Source organism: Homo sapiens, chromosome 6 (assembly GCF_000001405.40).
Source record: "Homo sapiens chromosome 6, GRCh38.p14 Primary Assembly".
NCBI lineage: Eukaryota > Metazoa > Chordata > Mammalia > Primates > Hominidae > Homo > Homo sapiens.
This window is the reverse complement of record NC_000006.12, coordinates 145,898,520-145,921,013: the sequence shown is the minus strand read 5'-3', so window position 1 is coordinate 145,921,013 and position 22,494 is coordinate 145,898,520. Positions and strand designations below refer to the sequence as shown.

Genomic DNA, 22,494 nt, shown 5'->3' with positions numbered 1-22,494 from the left:
AAAGGATAGCAAATACCATAATACTCAAAGACATTCTATTTATTAAATTACTAAAAGAAAATCATTATTAAACTGGAACTTATATGAAACTTTTTGTTTAGCCGTGAAAGTGTGTTCATTCTATTATTAGCTTGATCTTCCACTGCTATTATATGAAATTAGAGTTTTGTTTTTGTTCTGTGAATAACAAGCAAGCATCAGCTACCTTAAAGATTGGGGAACATAGTAAATACTTCTTATCCTATAAGTTTGGAAACCATTCCAATAAATAAAGCCCGATATGCCCTTTCATATTTGTACTTTAATGATTCCATCATATTATACCTCTGTACTTGAGATTTCACAATTCATTAATTTTCAATTATTGTTTTATTTGGATTAGTTATCCATTGTACTGCTTTACAGGTGACATAGGTAGAGGAAGGAAAGAAGTGTTTTTTTATAATGACATTTTTATTCAATTTCTTTTTTAAAAAGTCTTGCTTTTTAAAGTAGGATAAAAATTTTTATGCAGAGAGATAGTTATTTGTACTATCAGTTCATATGTCATAAATTGGGGAATACATTTATAACATCAAAATCATTGGTTTATAATAATGTTTTTCTCACACATTACTCATGTGAATACAAAGCACGTTAACACAGTTAATTACAGTAAGCCTTGGAAGAAGTGTTACTTATGATGTTCAGTTGCCCCTGTATTCTTCCTTTCGACTCAGTTTGGCCACATACCCTTTGTCCAGAAGAGAGCTTACTGTGCAGTTCTCCCAGGTCTTGGTACATATTTTCTGCATAACTTTGCAGACCTTTTCACAGAAGAGCAATTGAATGAGCTCCTGCTGTACATATCTACCAGATCTACCTCAAAATGTAAAGTCAGTGAAGAGAGCCTGTCAAAAAATGTATACTGATTGATACCATTTCTGTGAATTTCAGAAACATATATAACTGAATTATTAAGAATATGTTTCACATAGTATAAGTTCAATGAAAAGTGTAGCAGGATAAGTACAATTCAGAATAGTGGTTGCCCCATGGTTGGGTACTGAAGGAGGAATATGTGAGGAAAGAGTGATACAGTTGAGAAAGAACACACAGAGCCTTTCCAAGGAATTCATATTATTCTTTCTTCAATTAAATGATGAGTACTTGATTGTATATTTTAGTATTCTTGTTGCCATTTATACATAGTTGAATATGTGAAATATGTTATAATAAAACTATTTTTAAAAAATAAAACAAGAGATTCTGTCAGCCTAAAACTGGACTTTATAAAGATTTTTGGTCTTAGCAAGAAATCTTTATATTCTGTTACTGAGAATCTAAAGAGGCAGTGTCCTATAGAGATTTTTTTCATTCACATTTCATCCTAAAAATGACCCCAGGAACTACTTGTACGTTAGACACATAGCGAAAAAGTGTAAGATCTCATTGAAGACTTTTGCTTAAGGCACATCTTGGTGGTTTTAACCAGTTTTAATTACATGCTTTACCACTGTGTTTGTCTTTTCTATTCCTTCAGTTGCTTCATGAATATTGGATGGCTCTGAGGAATCGTGTGTCTGCTGTTGATGAACTTGCAATGGCTACAGAACGACTAAGAGTGCGTGATCCTAGGGAGCCAAAGCCTAATCCGCCTGTTCTTCATATCATTGAACCACATGAGGTAATTGGCAAGTAAATCACAGAAAAGGGAACAGCAAGCAGATGTCACAGATATCTAAGACCCATAGAAAAGGCAGAATCAGGGCACTGAGCTCTACTGTAAGTGTGTATTTAATCTCCATTTTTAATTTGACCCATAGAAAATTGTCTTTATAGACCAAAAATGGTCAAAGATGAGCAATTTCATATCTATTACATGCTTAGTGTTCACTATTTTGGGGCATCTTGTTTCTCTCCAGGTTGCGCATTCATCTGTTTTTGAGTTTAAAACCTTGTATGTGCTTAAGACCAATAGATATTCTCAGTCACTTTTTAGACATTTTTGTCACCTCAGTTTTATCAGAACTAGAAAAATCTTCCTTAAAAACAACTGAAACCTTTTCTTTTGCAGTGTTTCTTTTGCTAATGATGAACTAATATTAACAACTTACCTTCTAATAACTTTGTCTTTGTAACTCAGGTTTAAAAGCATTACTCCACCAATCTCTTTTATTCTCCATTAAAAGATATTATTTCCTTTATAATTCATTTTTATTCCTTATTTGTTTAGTGCCTTAAGTCTGTTTCTGTACAGCTTGGAGACTGTAACTTGGAAAAATGTAGATATATTCATTATATACTATCTCACTTAAATGTGAATTCTGAAGAAGTTTTTCTGAGAAAATAAATTCGTCTTGTTTGAGTGTTCCTTCTCTGTCTGCTGTATTCTACCAGGGGGACAGAGGAAAGAAGGGCAGAGAAATTCTTTCCTGGATTTCATGAAATCACTGAGGCCAGAGCAACAGATCATTTAACTTTTCTTTATCCCGTGTATGTATTACTGAAAAAAATGGTACATAATAGAATTTGAGTTTATTTTTATCTGACTTCAGGTACATAGGGACACTTCCTGTTTAAAAGAACTCTGCATTGAATTGTGCCTTTCATAAAGCAAAAAAAAAAAAAAATCATTTGAAATATATTATCTAGTATCCATTTTGAAAACTTGTGTTTTAGAATGTAAATAGGTTTTTTTTAAAAACAATACATTTGTATTACTGGAGAATTGTCCATATTTAATATAATTTAACTGTCTTTCTGAAAGAATAAAGAAGTTTTTATTTTTATTTTCTTTAGGTAGAACAAAACCGAATAAAACTACTAAATGATAAAGCTGTTGCTACATCACAGCTTCAGAAAAAACTTGGGCAGCTTCTTTACCTAACTAATTTGGAGAAGGTATTGTTTCTAAGACATGCTACTTTTTCCTATGCTGCATTATCATAAACCACTTTAGTGACTCCTTTCATAATTAATGGTGCAAATTGTTGTAATTAGTATTTGGTGTTATATGAGTCAGAACACTACCTATGTCTCTACAATAGCTTCAGAGATCACAAAAGAATATTGTATCTATAGAAATTTATTATGCAGATGATATAGAAGGCATGCACTCGATAGTAGAGAACAATGTAAATGGACTGTAGTTCAAAGCCTTGAATAGTAAAAGTATTAAAACATATCTCGGTGAAACTGGCATAATGCAATTTATACACATGCATTCATTCATCAATACAAAAATATGTTGTAATTTGTTATTTGAAACTGAAGTGTGTTTCGAAAGCTACTAAATCAGAGTACATGGTAATAAAGGTAGACTTCAAATATTAAGTAATTCAAAACACATGTTCTGAGTTATGATCTGAGTATTATACTGGACACTGATGAATTGGTGGGTCATTGATTAAATATAATTTCATTTTATTGCAGGAATCATATTTTGCTAGTTGGCAGAGAACCTTCTAGGGGCAAGATATAGTAGTAAATATTTGGATAGGGCAAGTGAGGACAAGATATAGATTTGAATTCTTCTGGAAACTGGTATAACATATACTTAAGTGAATCAGTAAATCTCAGACAAAATGAAAAGTTAGACATTCATTATAGATATAGCATGGCGACTAAGAAGGTAGACTTTGGAACTGGACAGCCCAATTTTGAATCGTGACTCAACTGTTTTCTAGATATGTGACTTTATTTAAGTTATTCACCTTTCCTCGCATCATCAGTAAAATGAGAATGATGTCAACACTACTTTATAGTATAGGGCTGTCTTGAGGATTGTGTGAATTAATACATGTAAAATGCTAGAGTAGTTTCTGATCTATTAAGCACTTTCTAGGTTTTTGCTGCTATTAATATTATTAAGATCATTATTACTGTTATGATTACCAACACTTATTCTGAAAGATAAAAAGAAGAAAAAAATTAAAAAGTTTCATGCAAATTGCTAACATTAAGAAGATAACACAGGCTGGGCATGGTGGCTCACGCCTGTAATCCCAGCACTTTGAGAGGCCGAGGAGTTTGAGACCAGCCTGGCCAACATGGTGAAACCCTGTCTCTACTAAAGATACAAAAAATTAGCTGGAATGGTAGCACACGCCTGTAATCCAGTTCCCAGGAGGCTGAGGCAGGAGAATCGCTTGAACCTGGGAGACAGAGGTTGCAGTGAGCTGAGATTGCGCCATTGCACTCCAGCCTAGGCGACAGAGCGAGATTCCATCTCAAAAAAAAAAGATAACAGGAAAAATGTCTCAACATTCCTGAACATAAGTTTTTTAAATGTAAGATTTCTATACTTTAAATATGATAGTCAAAATAAAAAGACAGTTATCTTGTACGTCATTGTTTATATGTTAAAATATTTTTTAAAACCTAAAATTTTAAGGATATAAATATTCTACCTAAGAAAATCCAATTTGGCTGTTAATAAAAGAAAAAGCATTTAATCTATAATGATGGAAAATCAAATTACACAGGTGCTATTTTCTGCCAACAATTAGGCACAGATTTTTTAAATGATTACACACCCCAGTGGTGAAAAAGGACAGGGAATGGATACATTTTATGCATTACCAATGGAAATATAAATTTATATAAGCTTTTCTTAAAAGCACTTTAACAATATCTGTCAACAATTTTATGTAGGTTGAACATCTCAAATCCAAAACTGGAAATGCTCCAGTGAGCATTTCCTGTGAGCATTGCATCAGCACTCAAAAAGTTTATGATTTTAGAGCGTTTTAGATTACAGATTTTTGGATTTGGAATGCTCAACCTGTATGTGAAAGAAAGGAAAAGGAAAACTGGACAACATAAGATGAACTGGAATCTATACAGTAGGATTAAATGAACATTATAGAACTGCAGAAATACAGTATCTGAAATCAAAAACTCATTGGAGACCAGACACAGAAAAAGATGGGATTCATGAACTCAAGTACAGTACAAATGAAAATACCCAATTTGAAGTGGCATAGATAGAAAAAGAACAAAATAGGGCAAAAGAGATTTGAGACACAGTTGTTTGATCTAGCATACTTGTAATTTCATAGATCTAGCATACTTGTAATTGAAGTTCAAGAAGAAAAGAGAATAGGACAGAAGCTTGAAGAGATAATAGCTGAGAATTTTCTAAAACTCATAAAATTATGACAAATATCTTAAAGATTCAAGAAGTTCAGAAACACTAAGCAGAATAAGTAAAGAAAAAAACAAAATACTGCCTAGATACATCATAGTCAAACTGCTGGAAACCAAAAATAATGAAAAATAGAAATAAAAAAAGTTGAGAGATAAAACATTTAATACTTACAAAGGAACACTAATAAAACTGGTGGCTACATAGAGATGTTTTTCTTTTCACCTTTAAAGATGTTTCGGTATTTTCCATAGTTTCTCTATGTAACCAGTTGACATTGGAACATCTTCAAAATGCTAAAAGAAAAAAACAGCCAACCTAGAGTTCTATACTTAAAGAAAATTTCCTTTTTTTAAAAAAAGTGAAATAAGGATATTTTCAGACAAACATAAACTGGAAGAATTCATCTCCAGTAAACACACATCACAATAAATATTAAAGGAACTTCTTTGGATGGAAGGAAAATTATTTCAGATTGAAGGATGCAACTACAGTAAGGAATGAAGAACAAAAGCTTAAATATGTAGATAAATATGCAAGGATATTGACTATTTAAAAGCAACAATGCTGTCTTATGGGTTATACAACTTATATAGAACTAAAATATATGTCAGTAGCACAAAGGAAAGAGGTAAGCAGAGGATTATTAAGATTTAATTTAATTTATTTAAATTTATTAAAATTTATTTTATTATAATTGTATTATAATATTTATATTTATAATTATATATTTATAATTCTGCCAAAATATATTTATAATTATATTTTATTATAAATTTATTTATAAGTTTATTAAAATTTATAAAATTTATTAAAATAATGTAATTATTTTAAGATAATTTAATCTATTTTAAGATTCCTTCAGAGGAATGGACAAGAAAGTCCGTAAGGATATTGAACATTTGAACACTAATGAACAAATATGACCCAACTGACACAGACCATTACACCCAACAGCTTCAGAATACATATTTTTTAGGTGTACGTGGAACATTTATCAAAATAGACCTTATGCTAATTCAAAAAGCCGCTCTTAAAAGTATGTGAGAGTATGTTTTCTGACTGAAGAGGAATTTAAACCAGAAATCAGTAATGGAAAGATAACTGGATAAATCCCTAAAAGTTTAATAGAAATTGACAGGATACTTCTGAATAACCCATGGGTCAAAGAAGAAGTCAAAATGGAAATTAGAAAATACTCTGAACTGAGTGAAAGTAAAAATATGTGACAGTGCTTAGAGGAAAATTTATAACTTCTTTAACTTAAGGATCTGCAAATTACCATGCATGGGAAAAATTCAGCCCGCTGCCTTTTTTCGTAAGTAAAGTTTTATTGGAATATGGTCACACTCATTCATTTACGTATTGTCTGTGGCTGCATTCATGCCACATTAGTGGAATTGAGTTGTTACAACACAGATCATATGGCCCACAAGGCCTAAAATATTTATAATCTCACCATTTATATAAATGTCAACTCTTTATTGACATATTGGAAAAGAAGAGCTGTTGTGAATTATGATAGATTGTTTACAAAGTGCTACAGCAATGACCCTCCCATTCTTGTTGCTCTTTGGAACTCCATGAGACTATCTCAAAAAGCCTAGTTTACTTTCTTGAGCAGCAGAGCCCTCAGCTCAGCCCAGCCCTCCCTGCAGACCAGATAGCCTACCAACTGCCAAACATGAGCATGAGGCCATCATAGACCATCCAACCCCAGCCAACTCAGCCCATCCCCAAATCACCTGTAGAATCTTGGGAATCATATGTTTGTTTTAAGCCACTAAATTTGTAGGTGATTTATTATATGTAAAAAGGAAAAGTGGACAACATAGTAAAATGAATTGGAATCTATATGGTAAGATCAAATGGACATTATAGAACTGCAAATATATACATACATTATTGATTTACTTATAAAAATCAATAATTAACAGAGGAAAAGAATAATTCATTGGTTCAATTTGTTTAAATGCCTAATCTGAAAATCTGTTACCTGAAATGCTCCAGTGAACATTTACCTTGATTGTCATGTCAGCACTCAAAAAGTTTGGATTTTGGAGCATTTCAGATTTCAGATTTTGGATTAGGGATATTCAACCTGTGTGATTAAAATTGTTTTCATTTTTTTGTTCACTCCTTGAATAAATGATATTTGTAAGGAAGTCTCAGGAATAATCTTGTTAGGTAATATAGAGATCGATGGGTCATCTAAATTGTTAGATTATGTAAATTGTAATTGCCAGTATTCACTTCCATAAATGAGTTGCAAAACATATATCAGGTTTTATATGTAAAAACGTAACTAATATATTTTTTAATTCTTTTTTGGATAGTCTCAAGATAAAACATCGGGAGGTGTTAATCCAGAACCTTGCCCAATCTGTGCTCGACAGCTAGGAAAACAGGTAAAATTATGATAAACATCACATGCATTTATAAAATACCTTACAGTTTTCAAAGGTTTCTACATAAAATCTTTCTCTCGTTTTTCTCACCACTAGTTTCTATGAAAGGCAAGTATTACCATTATCTTAAAGATAGCACTAGAGGTTAGGTGACGTGCTTAGGATTAGATGTTTGAGCAATGCTTTTCTTAAATGGGAAGTGAAAAAATATTTCTAGAATGACGCCATCTTTTTCATTAAAGATGCACAGTTTTGAACATTGTTTCCAGTCACAAGGTTGTGTCCAGTAATTTGACTTCGTCAGGTTAACATAGTTATTCAATAATTATACAGAAATGTAATATAACACACATAGATTTACTTAAGGTATTACATTAGTATAGAATCGTAGTTCTTACTTGCCAGTATTAATGTCTCATAATACTTGTTCTTCAGAGTACAAATTAATCTCTCCTAGGGAAATTTAGATGTGATTTTGGTAGACCACTATATTAAATATATTCCTTTGTGGATATTAGTATACATAATGTCTATAAACATGGTAGAACCATATTCTCCTCTAGGAGAACTGCAATTTATGAAAATACAAGTTTCTGCTTTCTATGATAAATCTATATATATATATATCAGACTATTCATTGCTCTTGAAAATTTGAAAGATAAGCCTATTACTGTTGAAGAAGTAGAAATAGTCTTGGCTGTTTTTTTCTATGGAACTGAGAGTTGAAAGGTAAATATATGCATTCCATATTCTGACCAGTAATAATCAAGAAGAAAGTACCTTTTGGTTTCTAAGATTGGTGGAGAAGGTGAGATCACAAGAATACTTTATTTGCTAATACATCTTAAAGGGAGAGATACTACATTGGAAACTGAGCAAAATAGTACTGTACAAATGCTGGTTACTTCTGACAAAAGTCAGTGATGAAACTGATAAAAGTTGTGATAAAAATGGAAGAAATCATGACATAAAGTAGTATTTTTTGCTTTTAGTTTTGATAAGATTTATACAACTGGACTGTCTCAGATATTTCATTTTGTCTTAAACATTTTCAGTTTTTAAAGTTCTTTCATATACATTAGTTCATTTAATTCTAGCATAACCTAGGTTTCCTGCACTTGGAAGACCATATTGGATTTCAATAATAGTAATAAAAATACTTTTCAAGCTCTGTTCATACTTACAATATATAGTAGCCGTATTTTTTTTTCCTTTTTGGATCCCCAGTTCTCCCCCCTTCTAATTTAGGGCTATTAAATTAGAATCTATCAGAGTTAACCCATATGTACCAGCTGATGCACCTGGAGGCATTGCCATTTGTCTCTTCTGTTTGGGTCAGTCAGCTTCCTGTCACTCCTAATGGTCAGGTGCCAGGTATCTCGTTGCTTCTTCTCCATTGCACATGTAGGTGGACCTGTCTTGATGTTTAGTTGGTCCATTTTGAGCTCTAGTGAGTCACAAAACTCCTTTCCAGTAGAGTACCCCAGTGGCACTAGAGGTACATAAAGTACAATATAGTGCTGCTCTGTGTCATACAAAAATGCTAGTAAAACAGCTCTTCAATTTCATTAGTCTCAACTCCTGTGGACTCTGGCAGAGGTGCAGCTAGAGAACAGTAGGAATAGTATTAGCTGTTAATAGGCAAAATAGTGGTTTGAAAACCAAGCTTATATACCTCAGTTTTCTCTTCTTTCAATGTGAGTTCTTTTCCAAAGAGCATCTTAGATGATCCAGCAAAGAATCTCAAGTGGGCCAGGTACGCACTTTCTTTCCATACATGTCCAAATCTTAAAAAAAACATAGCTTAAGGATTTAGAAGCTTTGTCACTCAAAAGACACTCAGTTTTTCTTATTGTTTTTACCAGATGAAAACGGTTAAAACTACATTTGTAAGATGCCATAGCTTTTAGAACTTACACCTAGACTAAATCTATTGTTCTTACGTCTCTCGTTGCCAAAGAGGGCAAAAGTCTCCATGGTATGTTGCAGAGATTCAGAGAGGATTATTTTATTTTTCCCGAATAGGACAAGGGGTTTCTTAAACATTTCTTTTTGGCTGGGCGCGGTGGCTCACACCTGTAATCCCAGGCCGAAGTGGATGGATCATGAGGTCAGGAGTTCGAGACCAGTCTGGTCAGTGTGGTGAAACCCCTCTCTACTAAAAATACAAAAATTAGCTGGTCGTGGCAGCAGGTGCTTGTAATCCCAGCTACTCAAGAGGCTGAGGCAGGAAAATTGCTTGAATCCTGGAGGTGGAGGTTGCAAGGTTGCAGTGAGCCAAGACCGCATCATTTGCACTCCAGTCTGGGCGACAGAGCAAGAATGTCTAAAAAATAATAGTAATAATAATAATTTCTTTTTGTTTGTAATTTTTTAAATAACCAGAACCATTTTCAAAATAAATTTGAGATACTATCCCATATTATTTTCTATATAAGTGCTTTAATGTGTGAAAATATAAATCTGTTTTTTAAATTAAATGGAACATATCGAGTATGATATTATCTCCAAATTAATATTCTAAGTCCCTCTGTTATATCTGTTGTTAGAGTGCTGAAGGACTAATTTACATTCTTCCCAAATACAGAAATGAGAACACCACCTTTCTACAAAGTAGTGGTGACTGACTATCATACTCACTTTTAGGATAAACAGAACTAAAGATTATGAAAACTTACTTTGGAATAAAAAATTAATTTGAAGGCACAACTTGGCTTTATGACAAAGAATATTAATGTTATGAAATCTTTAGGAGGAAAAATTGCGAATCTCTTTTTAATATGCTTATAAATTGTAAGGCATCTTTGATAGCACTAAGGCTTGTTCTGTTTTCTTTTTAGTGGGCGGTACTGACCTGTGGTCACTGTTTCTGTAATGAATGCATTTCTATAATTATTGAACAATACAGCGTGGGATCTCACAGAAGCTCCATTAAGTGTGCAATCTGCCGCCAGACCACATCTCACAAAGAAATCTCGTATGTCTTTACCTCAGAGAAAGCAAACCAGGAGGAGGACATCCCTGTGAAGGTAAAGTAGGTCAGGAACACATAGAAGCATAGGTAAGGCAATATAATATAGGAAGCAGTATCTGATTAAGAAAGCATGAACATCAGAACAAGCTTGACAGTGAATAGGTAGACGCCACTGTTGTCTGTAGATACACTGCCTGAAAGCCTCAGCTTAACCATGTAATTTTTAATTGTAGGAGGAACACAGAACACTTATTCAAACATGGTTAGCGATAGTCATGTACACTGTGACTAAAATGTAACATCTTAAAATTACAGTTTCCTATCCTCTATAATATTTCTATCCACCACAAGTAGACAGAGGTCTGGTTACATTAGAGATTTATTTAAAGAAAGAGTTTTCCTCATTCTTTTACACATCCCTGAATGTAAGGAAAAAAGGATGTGTCTAACTAAACAGAAGGATAAAATAAATTGGCTAATGAAGACAGCTACAAGAAAGAGGGTAATGTGCTTTTTAAACAGCATAGATTGATATTCCAGGATAAAGCCAAATTTTGGCTTTATTTTCCTAATTTTTTTCCATGCTTCATTCAGAATTTTAAGAAAATTACTATAATGTGATATCCAGACTGGATCTGTAATTGGATTTACTGCTTTTAAGGGGTATTTAATAAAAAGCCAAGACTATTTTGCTCTTTCTTTTCCTTAAATATGCTTTTTTAATATTTTTTTTCTAACCAAACTTGAACAAAGGACACATCGGTATCTAAATTTAGTAGCAAATGTGGGCTTTAAGGAATAGAGAATGAGAATTAGAGAATGATGGGGTTGACTCTTAAGCAAGATGAAGTATTCTTTATTAATTCCTTCTGAGTTTTTGATACTCCTCACTTTTAAGTAATGTGTTTTTTAAGTAGAATCAGCTACAAGTTGAAATTCACTACCAGTAGTTAAGCAGTTATTAGGGTACCCTTCTCCCAAGAAAACTGTAGCTGCATTAAAGAACTTTTAATTGCTCTTTTTTCACTGTTATTTGAGTAAAACCTGAAAATATCAGTTATATTGCTCTTTAGTCTGTTGGGATAAACAGAATTCCACAGTTAGAATAAGCATTCATCCATTCATTCCACACATATATATTGGACACGTACTAGCACACAGGCAGTGTGCTAGGCCTCATAGACACAGCATACACATAAATAAAACAGATATGGTTACTACTTTTGTGGAGATTGGTGAAGGAGTTTGAGTTGGGGCAGGAAGCACAGATGTTAATAAATAATGTGTTATAATTGTGATAAGCACTACAAAAGAACAAAGCTGGAGGCATCATGCTACCTGATTTCAAACTATACTACAAGGCTACAGTAACCAAAACAGAATGGTACCAAAACAGACATATAGGCGAATGGAGCAGAACAGAGACCTCAGAAATAATACCACACATCTACAACTGATCTTTGACAGACCCGACAAAAACAAACAATGGGGAAAGGATCCTATTGGGTAAATGGGGCTGGAAAAACTGGCTAGCCATATGCAGAAAACTGAAACCGGACCCCTTCCTTACACCTTACACAAAAATTAACTCAAGATAGATTAAAGACTTAAATGTAAAACCCAAAACCCTAAAAATCCGAGAAGAAAACCTAGGCAGTACCATTCAGGACGTAGGCATGGACAAAGACTTCATGACAAAAATGCCAAAAGCAATTGCAACAAAAGCCAAAATTGACAAAGGGAATCTAATTAAAGAGCTTCTGCAGAGCAAAAGAAATTATCGTCGGTAAACAGGCATCCTACAGAACGGGAGAAAATTTTTGCAATCAACCCATCTGACAGAGGTCTAATATCCAGAATTTACAAGGAATGTGAACATATTTATAAGAAAAAAACAACCCCATCAAAAATTGGACAAAGGACATGAACAGACACTTCTCAAAAGAAGATATTTACGTGGCCAACAAACATGAAAAAAAGTTCATCACTGATCATCGGAGAAATGCAAATCAGAACCACAATGAGATACCATCTCACACCAGTCAGAATGGCGATTATTAAAAAGTCAACAAACAATAGATGCTGGCAAGGCTGTGAAGAAATAGGAACGTTTTTACACTGTTGGTAGGAATATAAATTAGTGCAACCATTGTGGAAGACAGTATGGCGATTCCTCAAGGATCTAGAAACAGAAATCCCATAGGACCCAGCAATCCCATTACTGCATATATACCCAAAGGAATATAAATCATTCTGCTATAAAGACATATACACACAAATGTTTACTGCAGCACTATTTACAATAACAAATATATGGAACCAATCCAAATGCCCATCAATGATAGACTAGATAAAGAAAATATAGTACATATGCACCATGTAATACTATGCATCCATAAAAAGGAATGAGATCATGTCCTTTGCAGGGACATGGATGAAGCTGGAAGCCATCATCCTCAGCAAACTAACACAGGAACAAAAAACCACCACATGTTCTCACTCGTAAGTGGGAGTTGAACACTGAGAACACATGGACACAAAGAAGGGAACAACACACACACCAGGGCTTGTTGGGGCAGGGGAGTAAGGAGAGGGAACTAAGAGGGCAGATAAATAGGTGCAGCAAACTACCATGGCACATGGATACCTGTGTAACAAGCCTGCATATTCTGTACATGTATCCTGTTTTTTTGTTTTGTTTTGTTTTGTTTTGTTTTTTAAGGAGAAAAAGGAAAAAAAGTCTCTGAGGGAATGACAGTTAAGCAGGTATCTAAAGGATGAATGATGAATTAGTCAGCCTGAGGAGAGAATAGGTTGGCTCCCAGACAGAGAAAAAGAAAACCAGAAGAGAGCCAGTGCATGGAAAAGCCTAAGACAAGGACTCAAATGGATCTGAGTGGCTGAAGTGTAGAAAGCAAGGAGAAAGCAGTTGAATAAGCCTGGAGACCTAACTAGGGGACCAGATGTTGAAGGGCCACCTGAACATTTGAGAATTTTATTTTTATTTAAGGAGAAAGCCATTAAATATTATAAGCAGGGATGTATCATGATCAAATTTGGATTTCAAAAAGATCTCTCTTGTGTGGAAAACAGATGATGAGGAACAGAATAGAGCAGAAGAAATTTGGAGAGAGCAGCTTAGGAGGCTACAGCAGGAGTAATGGTGGCTTTGATTTGGCTGATGGCGGTAGAAATGGAGAGAAGTGGGTATATTCTAGACATGTTTAGAATAAAGTTAGAGAATGTTGGCAGCATTAGTGAAGGAAATTTCATAGATCACCCCTGGTTTCTGATGTGAATAAGCAGGTGGGTAATGGTATAGCTAATGATACAAGATATTTGGAAGAGGAATACATTTAGACATATCATATTTAAGGTGCCTAAGACATCCAAGTAGAACTATCCAGAAAAGTGTTGATATGTGGAGCTGGAGATACAAAATTCGGAGTCACTAATAGAAAAGTTTGCTTCAGATTGAGTCCTATGAAGTCCATAACTTTAAAAGATTGAATCAAGTTGGGAGGGCTGGAAAATGAGAAGGAGCAACTAGGGACAGGCAATCCAGGCAGGTACGCTGGCAACAAAGACCACAGGGAAGCTCTGCTTCGGTGAGGAGACAGTAGTGCTGAAGGTGGATCAACTACAATGTGGACTAATTTGTCTAATGAGGTCACTGATGACTTTAGAAGGAGCTCTTTTAATACAAATGTAGAGGCAGAAAGCAGATTGGGAGGGATTGCGGGATGAGCAGGAAGTCAACAAGTAGAAAAAATGCCCAACTGTTTCATAAACTTAACTGTGAGATAGAATCAGAATTGTAACCAGAACCTATGAAAACAGAAAGACATCACTTTTTTGTTGTTGTTCTGTTTAAGACAAAAGATTCTTGAGCATGTTTAGTCTCCAGTGAAAAAAGGATAGACTGAAGATATAGGAGAAAGGATAATTTGTAATACAAGTTTCTTGAAAAGAAGGAGAATGTTGATGTATAGAAAGTAGAGTTTCATTGAAGTCAAATAACAGGTATAAATTGGGCTATTGAGCACAAAAGATATAAGCATAGGTGTTCTTATCTGAGAATGGGAGATCATAGTCATTCCAGAGAGGACAGGCCTGCCAGATGTGACTGTAGAAGTAGGTGACTCAAGTGAGGTGGAGAAGAAAAGATGCTAGAAGATGAAACAGTGAGACCTGAATTTTGGATGAGCTGTCCAAGCAGACAGTATGTAATATCTAGAGTTGAGGTATAGAGTAAATTAGGCACCAAAGTTCTTTAGTGAATGTAGGGTAGGGTTCAATAAATTATAGCAAAGGGTAGAGTTGGGATAACTGGGCTTCAGGGGGCTCAAAAAATGGAAGTTGTTACACAAATGAGAACTAATGCTCTGAAACCTGCATTTGTGGACCAGCACTCAAATGCAACAGTCAAATCCTTCACTCAAAAGGGCTGCTGAGAGACCAGTATGCTTAGAAGATAGCCAGGTTCTAATTAAAGCAGGGAAGTGAAGAGCAGTATTTCTACAAGAGGTAGAAAATATGAAACAATTTGTTTCATAAAATACGGGTTCCAGGGGGCGCCAGTGAAAGGTCCAGGAGTGAAAGGAGAAAAATTAGAGGGTAAACAAGCAGGAAGGAAGTGCAGGACAGTATGGGAATAACAGAACAGGCAAGGATACGTGATGAGAGCATCATGACCTAAGGATCATCTAGTCCTGTTCCCTCTCTGTGAATCCCCTGAATACATTTTACAGTCAGCCCTGTGTATCTGTGGATATAGCCAACCATAGATCAAAAATACTTGGAAAAAGAAAAATTCCATGAAGTTCTAAAGAGCAGAACTTGAATTTGCAGCATGCTGAGTTTACATTGAATCCACGCAAATGCAATGATGTGTAGGGATTATATGAGGTAATCTAGAGATGATTTAAAGTATACAGGAGGATGTGTGTATGTTATATGCAAATATGACATCATTTTATATAAGGGCCTTGAGCATCCTGGGATTTTGGTATCCACAGGGGTTTTGGAAGCAGTCAGTCCCTCACAGATACTGAGGGAGGACTATATTTTTAAAGCAAATACCAAAGAGTTATTGAAGGAAGAAGTAGGTGACTTATGGTGCAGCCCTGAGGCATTTGACAGTTATTCTTTATCCTGCCTGCACTTAGGAGCTATGCTGCTTCCCAGTCCCTCTCTCCCTTTCTTCCCACTCCTATAGTTTCTCCTTTCCTTTCCATAAAGATAGTCTTTCTTAGCCCTTCCTTTTTTCTCTTCTTTCTCTTCCTCTGGCCACAGCATCTCAAGGGCCACAGATGGCCTTTGTGGCTAAGAAGAGGTGGCTCACCCTTAGGTGACAGCATGCATCACAGTACAAGGAACTGGCATAAGAAAGAACTGCTGTGTCAGGTTTTGCGCAGAGAGGTTAAGGAAGTGATTGCTCTAGCTACTGGTAAACAGCACAGCCTCTACGAAACTGAGTCATTGAGCCCATCAAATCCAAACACCTGTTCATTTTATGGCAGCTTTCCTAGACACCCAGGATAGAGATTGGCACAGTTACATGTGCTGTGCTGTTGGAGCAGGGATATCGGTATATAAATACTGTTTATTGTGCTCTCACTTCTCGCTGTCTTTCATGAGTATTGATTAACACGTGAATTAACTGAAGCATCTTTTAAAAAAAATTAAGTTTATAGAATTTACTAAAGATAATTTCCCTTTTTATCATAGATGCACATGTAATTACATTTCCTTTTCTTAAACATAAGACTATTGTACCATTGTGCGGGCAAATTTTATCCCTCCTCGACGTTGTCACACTGCTTCACGCCATGTTTAGGTTGGCTCTTCACTGCTTTTTCTGTTACCATTTGTGTCTGCCACATTTGCCTTGTGCTTCCTGTCTCTTCTTCTGACTTCTGTCACATTTCTGGCCTGCTGTCTGTCACTTCCTCCTTGAAACATCAGCTTATTGTATTCTGAGACTTCACCCCTCTCTTGTGACTCTTTGAAACTTCCACATAAATGATCATATTGCCTATTTTGGATTAGTATGTAAATAAAGATGGCTTTGTGTAAATAATTAAGGCATTATTTTCAAATTTTAGAAACTACTAGTTCCAATTATTTCTAAACCTAGTTTTTTTCTTTATATTACTGTTGATTATCAAATCGTTGTTCTTTAACAAGCAATACTGACAAGTAATTTTTTATTTAATTGAAATGTTTATATTATCTGAAATATAAAATTTATTTCTGAAATGATTATTTCACTGTATTTATGTCAAGATTCTCAGACATAGCAAACCATATATCGTACAGAATGCTTAATCATATAGCTTTTTTGTGGATAAAAGATATTTGGAAAGCATAAAACTATTATTTATTAGTAGTAGACATTTTTAAGTAGTATTTCTTGGAAATAAGAGATTTTACAATGTAAGGAATGCTGTTGATTGACCATAGATATAAAATGAATACTGGGATCACAAATGTCCTGTTCGGTGGATGCACTTAAGTTGAAGACCATTTCTTCCCTAGCAACAGTGTGATGGTATTCCTAAATGACCTTTGGAACCTACTGGGCATCTCACAAAGTAAACAAAATTCCCCTTGCAAGTTCTGACAACTGCCAGGCATTTTGGATGGTGAAGTAGGCCTCCTGGCAGAACATATGGCCCACATGTCTTGTTCCCTGTGTCTTACATTTGGCTAGGTTTTATACAAAGCATTTTGCCAGTGGAAACCCTGACCCTATATACTGGTCAAGAGTCTTAGATAATAAGAAATTTCTGTCCGGGAGAAAATAGATACAGCCACTACATAGATATAGTGACAGCAATACAGTACCCTTCCCACCCACCACATGCTACACAATTGCTTTTTTTGTCAAACTTTTAAGTATGTGACCATCAACTGGCCTGCTTTTTAAAATAAATATTTTTGTTCAGGCTCTGTCTCCATAAACTTTGACTCATTAGACCTGGGATGTGGTCCAGAAATCTGCATTTTTAGCAAGCATATCTCTTGATAATAGAGATATCTTATACAGCCTTTTTGTAGAGAAAAAAACTCTGTATCTCTACATTCCAACTCACAGAGAAGCCTAGCCATACTATGTGTAGAATTCTACATGTGGAATTCTATTCTGTTTTTTTTTTATTTGAATTTTTGTTCATTTAATTTAAAGATCATTTGTGACATCTGTCTCACACTTTTAAAATATAATTAAAATAAACATCTGAGTGAAAAAAACTGATTATGAAATTCTGAGTTTAAAATAGGAATAAAATAATTTGGTAAATATAATCCAGAAGTGATTATATTTAAATATATTTATCTAAATATTCTTATATAAGTTTTATATAACATGAACATTAACTGGTAAATTTGGAATGCAGTTGTATATTTTTTGTTAAAATATGTCATGACTAAATATAATTGCAAAAAAAATACCATTTCTATTTCTGTTCACCGGCCAAGTTAATACTTGTAATTCTGAACTGTTAGCCTCATGTTAAAGTTAGCCATAGCTTGCAGTAAATTGAACACACAGTAGAGACTTCTAAGATATAAACTAAAACTTATCTTTATGAAAAAATCATTTGTTGAGTGTAAACTCCATTAAAAGGTAGAGGACTTGTTCATGAGGTAGGGATGTTGTTTTATTCACTATTTTGTATGAGGCATTTGGAACAATACCTGGCATATAATAGGCACTCAGTAAGTATTTGAATGCATGGATGGATAACAATTGAATAGTCTGTGTAAACAATTGAATAGTCTAGAGTAAAGCCAAGCTACAGTGTATCTTTCTACACCAATACTCAGATTTTTACCATTAATATTGCGCCCTCTTTTTTCCCCAATAATAAGTCTTCAGTGCATGAAAAGCACTTCCTCCCTCTGAAATTACATCGGTAAAATAGGTCATCTCATTCTGGAGGGGAGAGGATTAAAATCTAGATCAGATGCTACTTGGTTGGTTTATTAGAAGAATTTTTTTCAGTCTACTGAATTTATGGCAAAGAAACAAAACTGAATTTTCTGTCATTTTAACACATTTAACAACTTGTAATTCAAAGTTTAGGTTCTCCACATTTTACAACAGGAGGCTGCAACTATAGAACACCTTATTCCAATCAGATTTAACTCTGTGATAAAAATAAGTTAGTGGCACCTGTTAGAGCAGATAAGCCACATGACATTTCTGATCTTGAGTTGTGTTACTAAGTGACTTCCAGGCCAAACTTCATTAGAAATATTCTTTATTGGCCTTTGGTGCTAGTGGGTCTCTACTCTTTTTTCAGTGTGTTGACTTCCTGCCCCAAATTCTGGAGCTTTTAACTTTGTACTTTATTTTCCAGAAAGTGGAAGACTTCACTTTACTTCACTTCTTTATTTTTAAACATTTTAATTCTCCTGGCTGCTGACTTGAGCAGAAAACCAGGAGAGATAACAGCCTTGCGCTGACTGGTAACACTTTGTATGTCTCCCATCCGAGTTCTCTAGTTGACCTTAGAGAGAATTAGTGCCTTAGAGAGAAGAATGGCAAAGATACAGTCAGTGAGGGTAAAGGACAGAAGCTGTGTCGTTATTCCAAAGCTGGACCTTGGTCATTAATGTTTCAGAAACATGAAGGAAAACCAAGCAATAAGCACAAAGTTAGGATTAGGGTGTGTGTGTGTGCTGAAGAGACTAAGGAGAAAGGATGGGAGTAAGGAAAGGGACAGTAATGTCAGAAGAGGACAGAGGTGCTTATAGTTAAGTACAACTTTATCAACCTAATATATTAAGAGATTATCTAGCAGTTGTATGGGATTTCTGTTCCCATGTACAGTCTTCCCTAATGCATAACATTCCAGCTTAACTTTGCATCTGTTTACTGCTGTAGCTAAATAATGAGTTTGCCAGAGGCTACCAGTTTACCTGTCTTGAGAATGTTCATACTGTGTTAACAGCTTGCACAGGAATAGATTGGTATCCACATTTCCTTTTGTTACTTTTTTGCTTTTTTGCAAGCAGCCTTGCCTATATGTAACCCATTCCCTTTTTCCTGTTTTAATCTTATCTTTTTTTAACAATGTGAATATTTGCTTTCTATAGCAGTAACTACATTGAATAGTCTTCTCAGAAGCTGGCAGATTTGAACCCAAGTTTATTTACATATTTAAGATAGAAGAAACATGAAAAAGAGCAGTAGAATGTGTGTAGTGCTCATTAAGGCGGTATAAAACATTCATTTCAATTGCCAAACCAGCAGATAAACCATCCTTTTATGTTTTTCTCCATATTCTGCAACACGCGTTAGAGTGTTATGTATTTGGAGACAAGGGAGTGTATTTTTTCATCTTTGTATATCCAGTTCCTCATATGGTTCTTTGTTAACTGTCAAATGAAATATTGTATATATTTATGGTAGTATACAACATGATGTTTTAATATATGTAGATATTATGGAAGGATTGAATCAAGCTAATTAACATACCCATCACTTCACATACTTAACCAATTTTTGTGATAAGAAAATTTAAAATCTGCCCTCTTAGCAGTTTTCAAGTATAGTTGGCCCCCCACATTTGCAGATTCTGCATCAGCAGATTCAGTTAACCACGGATAAAAAATACTCAAGAAAAACCCAGCAACAATAAAAAATCACAATACAGCATATTTAAAAAACACAAATTTTTAAAAGACACTATAATAATTTACGTAAGATTTACATTGTATTCAGTATTGTAAGTAATACAGAGATGATTTTAAAGTATACAGAAGGATGTGTGTAGGCTATATGTAAATACTATCATTTTATGTAAGGCACTTAGCATCTGCAGATCTTGATATCCAATGGGGATCCTAGAACTCCCCATGAATACCAAGGGACAATGGTATACAATACATTATTATGTACTGTAGTCACCATGCTGTATAATAGATCTTTAGATCTGTTCCTTCTGTCTAACTAAAACTTTGCACCATTTAACCCACTCCCTTCCCCCACAAACTCCAGCCTCTGGTAACCGCCATTCTGCTCTCTGCTTCTGTGAGTTAAATGTTTTTAGATATCCCATATAAGTGAGATCATGCAGTATCTGTCTTTTCTGTGCCTGGTTTATTTCAGTTAGCATGGTGTCTTTCAGGTACATAGATGTTATCTCACCTGACAGGATTGATTTACTGTCAGGTAAAAACATATTCCGTGGTGTATATATAACCTGTTTTAAAATTTATTCATCAATGGATGGACACTTACATTGATTCCATGTCTTGGCTACCATGAATAATGCTGAAATTAACTTGAGATTGCAGATATCTCTTCCACATGCTGATTTAATTTCCCCTGGATATATACCCAGAAATAGAACTGCTGGATTGTGTGGTAGTTCTATTTTTAATATATTGAGAAACCTCTTTACTATTTTCCAAAATGGCTCTACTAATTTGTATTGCCACCAATGGTGTACAAGGGTTTCCTTTTTCTCCACCTTCTCACCAATACTTATCTCTTGTCTTTTTTATAATAGTCATTCTAACAGGAATGAGGTGGTGTATCTCAGTGTGGTTTTAATTTGTATTTCCCTGATGATTAGGGTCGTTGAGCACCTTTTCCTAGACCTGTTACCTATTTGTATGTCTTCTTTTGAGTAATATCTTTTCAGGTCCTTTGCCCATTTTTTACTCAGGTTGTTTTCTTGCTGTTGAGTTGTTTGAGTTTCTGGTATATTTTGGATAATAACTCCTTATCACATGTGTGGTTTGCAGATATTTTCTCCTTTGCTGTAGATTGTCTTTGTTGATTATTTCCTTTGCTGTGCAGAAGCTTGTTAACTTTAATGCGATCCTATTTATCTTTTTGCTTTTCTTGCCTGAGTTTTTTGGGTCATATCCAAAAAGTCTTTACCAAGATCATTGTCAAGTAGTTTGTAGTTTTGGGTCTTATATTTAAGTCTTTAATCCATTTTGAGATGATTTTTGTATATGCGGTGAGATAAGGGTCCAGTTTTATTCTTTTGCATGTGGATAACTAGTTTTTTCAGCACAGTTTATTGAAGAGACTGTTTTTTCCCCATTGTGTGATCTTCTTATCTTTGTTAAAGATTGGTTGACTGTGTATGTGTGGGTTTATTTCTGGGCTCTCTCCTGTTCCATTGGTCTGTATGTCTGTTTTTATTTCAGTAGCGTACTATTTTTATTACTGTAGTTTTAAAATGTGTTTTAGAATCAGGGAGTGTGGTATCTCTAGCTTTTTGCTCAAGATTGCTTTGGTTATCCAAGGTCTTTTGTGGTTCCATATGAGTTTTAGAATTGTTTTTCCTATTTTTCTTTGTCTGTTTTATGTTGCCGTAACAGAATATTTGAGGCTGGGTAATTTATAAATAAAAGGAGTTACGGCCAGATGCAGTGACTCATGCCTATAATCTCAGTGCCTTGGGAGGCCAAGGCAGGAGGATCACTCGAGGCCAGGAGTTCAAGACCAGCCTGGGCAACATAATAAGACTCTGTCTTTACCAAAAAAAATTTAAAAGTAGCCAGGTGTGGTGGTGCACACCTGTAGTCCCAGCTACTCGGGAGACTGAGGTGGGAGGATCACTTGCGCCCAGGAGTTCAGGGTTGCAGTGAGCTGTAATTACACCACTGCACTCCAACTAGGGCGACAGCACAAGACCCTGTCTCAAAAAGAAAAAAGAGGATTATTTAACTCCTTTTTCTGTAGGCAGGGAAGTTCAAGGAGATGGCCCTTCTGGTGAGGGCTTCCTTGTTGCATGATAACATGGCGGAGGTCATAGGGGTAGCAGACAGGTACAAAGAGAGAGCAACAAAAAGGAGGAGGAAACTTATAACAGCCTGCCCTCATAGGAGCCAATTCATCTTGCACAAGAGAGAATTTACTCACTACCAAGAGAATGGCACCAAGTCATTCATAAAGGATCCACCCCCATGACTCAGAACACCTGCCACTAGGCCCCACTTCCCAAAACCTCCA

The 22,494-nt window shown here is 35.0% G+C and overlaps 1 protein-coding gene and 1 long non-coding RNA gene across 17 annotated transcripts in view; one reads left to right on the top strand and one right to left on the bottom strand.

Moving 5' to 3' along the window:
* SHPRH (SNF2 histone linker PHD RING helicase) overlaps positions 1 to 22,494 on the top strand; it is a 106,521-nt gene that overhangs the window by 43,345 nt on the left and 40,682 nt on the right. For 15 of the 16 annotated variants that reach the window (XR_942393.4, XR_942390.4, XM_047418600.1 and 12 more), the window contains 4 exons: positions 1,523 to 1,666; positions 2,782 to 2,883; positions 7,465 to 7,536; positions 10,378 to 10,566. Coding sequence is in view for 14 of the 16 variants with exons in the window: in XM_047418600.1 (XP_047274556.1) it covers positions 1,523 to 1,666; positions 2,782 to 2,883; positions 7,465 to 7,536; positions 10,378 to 10,566 (507 nt within the window). In the remaining 2 variants the exon portion in view is untranslated. Of the gene's footprint in view, positions 1 to 1,522; positions 1,667 to 2,781; positions 2,884 to 7,464; positions 7,537 to 10,377; positions 11,529 to 22,494 lie in introns of those variants that run through there. The other variant, XM_047418602.1, reaches the window with a different exon arrangement.
* LOC124901420 (uncharacterized) lies at positions 3,052 to 5,527 on the bottom strand. Its single transcript, XR_007059801.1, has 2 exons — positions 5,303 to 5,527; positions 3,052 to 4,210 (listed from the first exon to the last, which is right to left on the bottom strand). It is a non-coding gene; the product is annotated as an uncharacterized LOC124901420 (long non-coding RNA).